Source organism: Homo sapiens, chromosome X (genome assembly GCF_000001405.40).
Source record: "Homo sapiens chromosome X, GRCh38.p14 Primary Assembly".
Taxonomy (NCBI): Eukaryota; Metazoa; Chordata; class Mammalia; order Primates; family Hominidae; genus Homo; species Homo sapiens.
Window position 1 is genome coordinate 1,866,513 of NC_000023.11, and position 8,042 is coordinate 1,874,554.

At 45.1% G+C, this 8,042-nt stretch overlaps 1 annotated feature.

The window, feature by feature from the left end:
* Nucleotides 386-885: an enhancer, noted in NCBI's record as "H3K4me1 hESC enhancer chrY:1935791-1936290 (GRCh37/hg19 assembly coordinates)". NCBI's record gives its function as "activates a minimal SCP1, AML or CMV promoter by ChIP-STARR-seq in primed H9 embryonic stem cells {active_cell/tissue: H9 hESC(primed)}" and the evidence as "EXISTENCE:reporter gene assay evidence [ECO:0000049][PMID:30033119]".

Sequence of the window (8,042 nt, forward strand, 5' to 3'; positions counted from 1 at the left end):
ATCCTGCCATTTTTACTTTTATTAGTATCAAGCTGGAGCATCCAAGATGCTATTTACCTCGGCAGCCCGCTGGGTTTTTCCATTGCAACTGTGGGTTTTCTATTTGCAAAACAGCCACGGAGGCTTAGTACATATTTTCCGTATTTTGCCCTTGTAGCAAAGGCAAACATACGGGAATAGAAACATACTGAGGCAGAAATTTAAAATAATCATAATAAGGACTGGACGCGGTGGCTCACGCCTGTAGTCCCAGCACTTTGGGAGGCCGAAGCGGGCGGATCACGAGGTCAGGACATCGAGACCATCCTGGCTAACACGGTGAAACCCCATCTCTACTAAAAACACAAAAAATTAGCCAGGCGTGGTGGCGGGCGCCCGTAGTCCCAGCTGCTGGGGAGGCTGAGGCAGGAGAATGGCGTGAACCCGGGAGGTGGAGCTTGCAGTGAGCCAAGATCGCGCCACTGTACTCCAGCCTGGGCGACAGAGCGAGACTCTGCCTCAAAATAATAATAATAATAATAAGTAGTAGTAGTACTGCATTTATTCACTCCAAGAAAAGTAAACGCTAAGGCCCAGAATGTGGCAAGGTGAGGGTTAGAAAGAAAAGAAGTTTTCCTCTCCTAGCAGCTCGCTTCAAGGACAGTTAGAAGACAATGCTGTCCGAATAGCCAAGGCCAAAGGAATGGGCTCCAGACACCCCACCTCCCTCCCAGAGCAAGGTTGAAGGAAAAAAGAGAAAGACAGACGCTTTCACTGTTACTCTTTTCCCAGCCTTCTTAAGCATAATTAGCATGATCATGCTTTATGAATGTCTGTATTTAGCCAGTTCTTGTTTTTCTTTCAATGCAGTTACAAGGCCACCAGCTACGCAGTCACAACTTATGTGATGCTATAGATGACGTGACCTGCCACTGTAGGAGTAACTGCTTTTATTTTGCTTCTGTAAAGCCGCTTATGAAAACCCCGCTCTGTCTTTGTTCAGGGCTCAGCTTTTGGATGTGAGTCCTGTGAGCAGGTGCGTACCTAAAATAAACAAATCCTGCTATACTCTGTATTGGTCTCTCCGTTCCTCAGTTTACCACAACAATATGAAAATATGGGGCTGGGCGTGGTGGCTCATGCCTGTAATCCCAGCACTTTGGGAGGCCGAGGTGGGCAGATCACAAGATCAGGAGTTCGAGACCATCCTGGACAACATGGTGAAACCCCATCTCTACTAAAAATACAAAAGTTAGCCAGGTGTGGTAGCATGTGCCTGTAATCCCAGCTACTCAGGAGGCTGAAGCAGGAGAATCACTTGAACCCGGGAGGTGGAGGTTGCAGTGAGCCAAGATCGTGCCTCTGCACTTCAGCCTGGGTGACAGAGCAAGACTCTATCTCAAAAAAAAAAGAAAAAAAAAGAAAGAAAGAAAAGACGGAAACGCAGTGGAGAGATCCTGTTAACGTCAGGCAAAGTACACTTCAGAAGAATAACAATTACCACTGGTAAAATGGGACATTATCTAATGACAAAGGGGGCAATTCACCAAGAAGACAAAATGATTTTGATGATGTATTCAACGCAAAACAAATCCTCGAAATACATAAAGCGAAAGAAGATACAGAATTGAGAGGAGAAATAGGTGAATGCATAATTCATTTCTTTTTAGAGATACGGTCTCTCTCTGTCGCCTGAGAGTTGGGAACACGAACATTCCTCTTTCAATAATTGATACATCAAGTAGAGACTTTTTAATAACACAATCAATCATTAGGCCGAGCACGGTGGCTCATGCCTGGAATCCCAGCACTCTGGAAGGTCGAGGCAAGTGGATGGCTTGAGTCCAGGAGTTTGAGACCAGCCTGAGCAATATGGCAAAACTCTATCTCTACAAAAAATACAAGAATTAGGTGGCTATGGCGGTGCACACCTATAGTTCCAGCTACTCGGGAGGCTGAGGTGGGAGGATCCTTGAGCCTGGGAAGTGGAGGTTGCAGTGAGCCGAGATCACAGCACTGCACTCCAGCCTGGGCGACAGAGCAAGGCCCTGTCTGAAAATAATAATTGTAGTAGTAATAATAGTACTATCACCTGTGCATGGTGACTCACACCTGTAATCCCAGCACTTTAGGAGGCGGAGGCGGGTGGATCACTCGAGGCCAGGAGTTCGAGACCCACCTGGCCAATCTGGTGAAATCCCCTCTCTACTAAAAATTAGCTGGTCGTACTGGCGGGCACCTGTAATCCCAGCTACTCGGGAGACTGAGGCACGAGAATCGTTTGAACCTGGGAGGTGGAGGTTGTGGTGGGCTGAGGTCATACCACTGGACTCCAGCCTGGGGGACAGAGAGAGGCTCTGTCTCAAAATAATAATAATAATAATAATACTATCAATCAACCAATCAATCAATGACTCAATGGACATTTCTAGAACATTCCACCAAGCGACAGCAGAAAATGCACGAAGTTTAAGTACCCAGCGAATGCCACAGAGATACAACATATTCTAAGCTGTAAAACAAACCTTAACGAATTTAAAACAATTAAAATAATACTTGCTACAGTCCTATAAATAATGAAACCATTAATCAACAGCAGGAAGATATCTGGAAAATGCCCACATATTTGGACACTAAAAAGTTATCAGCTAAATGACTCATGGGTCAGAGGAGAAGCAAGAAGGGAAATTTTGAAATACTTTTAATTGAATGAAAATGAAATTATCAATGTATCAAAAATCGAGAAACATGGGGCCTGGCGCGGTGGCTCATACCTGTAATCCCAGCACTTCAGGAGGCCAAAGAGGCGGTGGATCATTTTAGGTGAGGAGTTTGACACCAGCCTGGCCAACATGGTGAAACCCTATCTCTATTAAAAATACAAAAATTAGCAGGGCGTGGTGCTTGGTGCCTGTAGTCCCAGCTACTTGGGAAGCTGAGGCAGGAGAATCGCTTGAACCCGGGAGGTGGAGGTTGCAGTGAGTCAAGAGGCAGAGGTTGCAGTGAGTTGAGATCAAGCCACTGCACTCCAGCCTGGGCGACAGAGCATAACTCCATCTCAAAAAAAAAAAAAAAAACAGGTACAGGAGTACTTTGAAAAAATTTATTGCATATACATAATATAATGCTTATATTCTATAATATATTCTAATACTTATTAGATAATATGCTTACTTTTTTTTTAGAAAAATGTCTGCAATCAATTATCTGATGTCCTATCCTTAAAAAAATTATTAAAAGAAGAGAAAAGTTTAGCCAAGTCAGGCAGAAGAAAAGAAATAATAAAGATATAATTAGAAACAGAAAAAAAAATATGAAAAAATGAATAAATCTAAAATCAGATTCATGGAAGGGATCAAACATATGGATGGAGCTTTCACCAGAAAGAAAAACATAAAAATAAACCATAAACGTCACTAGTATCAGGGATGCAAGAGGGACATCCCTGTAGCCCCTATTGATACTAAAAGGATAATGAAAGGATACTACAAATGATTTTATGCACATAAAATTGGTAGCATTGATGTAAAGGCAAAGTCCTAGAGAGACACACACTACCAAACCTAACTCAAGAAGAAACCGATAACCTGAATAGTTCTATGTCTACCAAAAAAAAAAAAATTATTTTGAGACTGAATCTCGCCCTGTCGCTAGGCTGGAGTGCTGTGGTATGATCTCAGCTCACTGCAACCTCCGCCTCCTGGGTTCAAGCAATTCTCCTGCCTCAGCCTCCCAAATAGCTGAAACTACAGGCACACACCACCACACCCAATTAATTTTTGTATTTTAGTAAAGATGGGGTTTCACCATGTTGGCCAGGATGGTCTCGATCTCTTGACCTCGTGATTCACCTGCCTTGGCCTCCCAAAGTGCTGGGATGACAGGCAAGAGCCACCATGCCCGCCCAAATAAATGAATTCTTAGTTAACACCTTCCAACACAGAAAACTCTGCAGAGGTCTTCACTGGCCAATTCCATTAAACAGTTATTGGAGGAAGATACCTAATTTTACCCAAACACTTCCTAAAATAGAAGAACACAGCATTTTCCAACCCATTGTATGAAGCCAACATTGTTACCACAATACCAACATAAAGAGGAAAAATGTCAGACAAGAAAACCACAGACAGATATTCGTCATTCACCCAGAAGCAGAAATTCTCAACAGCGTATCAACAAATCAAGGAAAACACCGTCTGGATATATGGCACCATGACCCTGTGAGGTTTATTTTATGAACACAAGAAGGGCTGTTTTTTAACATCGAAAAATCAATGTAATTAGCTCAATCAAGCCACTAAAGAGAAAAATGTGTACAATCTTTTCAAAACATGCAGCAGAAGTACTTGACAAAAATGAAAATCAACTTGGAAATAAAAATGCTGAGCCAAGTCTGCTTAACCCTATAGTGGGATCGACAGAAAACCCACAGCTAACTGTAACTCATAGGATGGAAGACTGACCAAGATCTTTCCTCTGAGATCAGGAACAAAGAAGGGAGCCCCACTCCGCTGCAAACAAATCATGTTTCTGTCACCCACAAAAACGGATGGTAGATTAAAAACCAATGTAACTTTCTTTTTGCTTTTTTTTTTTTTTTTTGAGACAGAGTCTTGCTCTATCTCCAGGCTGGAGTGCAGTGGCTCCATCTTGGCTCACTGCAACCTCCACTTCCTGGGTTCAAGCGATTCCCCTGCCTCAGCCTCCCAAATAGCAGGAACTATAGGCACGAGCCACCACACCTGGATAATTTTTTGTGTTTTAGTAAAGATGGGGTTTCACCATGTTGGTCAGGATGGTCTTGATCTCCTGAACTCAGGATCTGCCCGCCTTGGCCTCTCAAAGTGCTGGGATTACAGTTGTGAGCCACCGCGCCCGGCCTGCCCACATCTTAATAGTGTTATTTGTTTGTTGTTGTTGTTGCTGTTTCAGTTCTTTGTATATTGTGAGTAGGAGACTGTTTTAACCTCAACGTGATGATTCGTCCCGGCTCAATTCACAGAAGCTGGTGAAACAGTCGACACGGGTGTAACTTTCCATTTTCTGCCTCCGTGAGGTCACCCTAACTGTGAAAATAGACATATCTATTCATGTATTTTGAAAATGCACACATTTTTCTTTTTCTTTTTTCTCAGGCAGAGTCTGGCTCTGTCACCCAGGCTGGAGTGCAGTGGCACGATCTTGGGTCACCGCAACCTCCGCCTCCCGGGTTCAAGAGATTCTCCTGCCTCAGCCTCCCGCGTAGCTGGGACTACAGGCACCTGCCACAATGCCCGGCTAATTTTTGTATTTTTAGTAGAGACAGGGTTTCACCATATTGGCCAGGCCGGTCTCGAACTCCTGACCTCGTGATCTGCTTGCCTCAGCCTCTCAAAGTGCCGGGATTACAGGCCTGAGCCACTGCGCCTGGCCAGGGCCTCATTTTCCAAAGTCTTATCTTTCCTATGATGCTCTATTCATTTACAAGCATATATATATTTAAAAGGAAAACATGGACATCCTGCACCCATCATTCTACAGCTTGTTTTTCATTTCCAATGCACTGAAGATTGCTTCATGGTTTTGTATACGGAAATGCGTAGTTCTTTTCCTTTTTCTTGACTGCATACTATTCCGTTACATAAATGTACTGTGTAATATTTAACCCATTCCTTGTAGATGGGTGCCCTGCTAGTCTCAGACATTTGTCCTTATAGACAATGTCACAGCCAAAGGTATGTATCTCTGTATTTTTGCAGACATCGTCATGAATATTTTTTTTTTTTTTTGAGATGGAGTTTCACTCTTGTTGCCCAGGCTGGAGTGCAGTGGTGTGATGTTGGCTCAGTGCAACCTCCGCCTCCCGGGTTCAAGCGATTCTCCTGCCTCAGCTGCCTGAGTAGCTGGGATTACAGGCATGCGCCACCACACCTGGCTAATTGTATTTTTAGTAGAGATGGGATTTCTCCATGTTGGTCAGGCTGGTCTCTAAGTCCCGACCTCAGGTGATCCGCCCACCTCGGCCTCCCAAAGTGCTGGAATGACAGGCGTGAAACACTGTGCCCAGCCTGTCATGAATATTTGTAGGGGAGAACTGGCTTTGAATTTGATATCCTTAAAGGTGAATGGAAATATAAACGGTAAATATAGTCTGACTGCTTCAACGTCCTGTCTTCAGAGGAGATGTGATTTTTTCACATCTGCCCTTTCATTCATTCGTTTGTTTGTTTGTTTATTTGTGATAGGGTCTACCTCTGTCACCCAGGCTGGAGTGCGGTGGTGTGATCACAGCTAACTGCAGCCTCAAACTCCTGCACTCAAGCAATCCTTCCACTTCAGCCTCTTGAGTAGCTGGGACTACCAGGCATGTACCAGCACATCCGGCAAAATTTTTTTTTTTTTTTTTTTAAGACAGAGTCTGGCCCTGTTGCCCAGGCTGGAGCGCAGTGGCGCGATCTTGGCTCACTGCAACCTCCTCCTCCCGGGTTCAAGCAATTCTCCTGCCTCTGCCTCCCAAGAAGCTGGAACTACAGGCATGAGCCACCACACCTGGATAATTTTTTTGTGTTTTAGTAAAGATGAGGTTTCACCATGTTGGTCAGGATGGTCTCGATCTCCTGACCTCAGGATCTGCCCGCCTTGGCCTCCTAAAGAGCTGGGATTACAGTTGTGAACCACCGCGCCCGGCCTGCCCACATCTTAATAGTGTTGTTTGTTGTTGTAGCTGTTTCAGTTCTTTGTATATTGTGAGTACGAGACTGTTTTAACCTCAATTTGATGATTCGGCCCAGCTCAATTCACAGAAGCTGGTGAAACAATCGATATAGGTGTAACCTTCCATTTTCTGCCTCCGTGAGATCACGAGATGGAGTCTCACTCTGCCACTCAGAGCGGAATGCCGTGGTGCAATCTCAGTTCACTGAAACCTCTGCCTCCCGGGTTCAAGTGATTCTCCTATCTCAGTCTCCCGAGTAGCTGGGATTACAGGTGCGAGCCACCACGCCCAGCTAATTTTTGTATTTTTAGTAGAGATGGGGTTTTGCCATGTTGACCAGGCTGGTCTCGAACTCCTGACCTCAAGCAATCCTCCCACCTCGGCCTCCCAAAGTGATAGGATTACAGGTGTGAGCCTCCACGCCCAGCCCCTCTTTTCTCCCTCTTTGTCTCTCTTTCCTTCTCCTTTTTCACTCTCTCAGTATTTCTCTTCTGTCTTTCCCCCACTCCCTCTCTCTCTCCTTTCTCTCTCCTTTCTCAGTCTCCTTTCTCTCTCTCTTTCCCTCTCCTTTCTCAGTCTCCTTTCTCTCTCTCTTTCCCTCTCCTTTCTCAGTCTCCTTTCTCTCTCTCTTTCCCTCTCCTTTCTCTCTCTCTTTCCCTCTCCTTTCTGACTCTCTCTTTCTCAGTATCTGTTTCCTCTCTCTCTTTTTCCCTCCTCTCCCTCTCTCTCTCTCTCAAAATCTCCCTCTTCCCCCTCTCACCCTCTCTCTTTCTTCCACCCTCTCTACCCCACTCTCCATCTCTCCGTTTCTCTTCCTCTCTCCTTTTTTTTTCTCTCTCTCCTCTGTCTTCTCCATGGCCCTTCTTCCCTCTCTCTCTTCCTCTCCTTCTCTCCACTTTTCTCTCATACCCAGCCCTCAACAGAAACCACCACACTATGCACTGTCTGGCAATCCATATCCCCAAATCTTTATTCTCCTCTTGAGAGCAGCTTCTGAATTCTATTAGGTCCATCTCTCTACATCCTTTTACTTTCTTATCTCTGTTCTTATCTCTCTCTATTTTCTGAGCCACCGACGTCAGGGTAACTCAGCAGATCAGGCTGTGAGATACTGAGATACCCACGGCAAAGGGAACGTGAAATGAGATGGGATCAAAACCCAGAACCGTCCGTCACTAACACCGTTCACTTCTCTGCATAGCTCTGTCTTGTCTCCTCAAAGTGAGGACACAGGGAGAGAGACACTGTCGTGCAGCTTTTAAGAATTCAGGGTTGAGATTCTGATGCATCTGGGAGGGGCCTGCTTGCAGGTGAAGTCAGTTGTTGGTGACAACGTGGCCGTGGGCTGGCCGGGATGATGGTAGCGTAC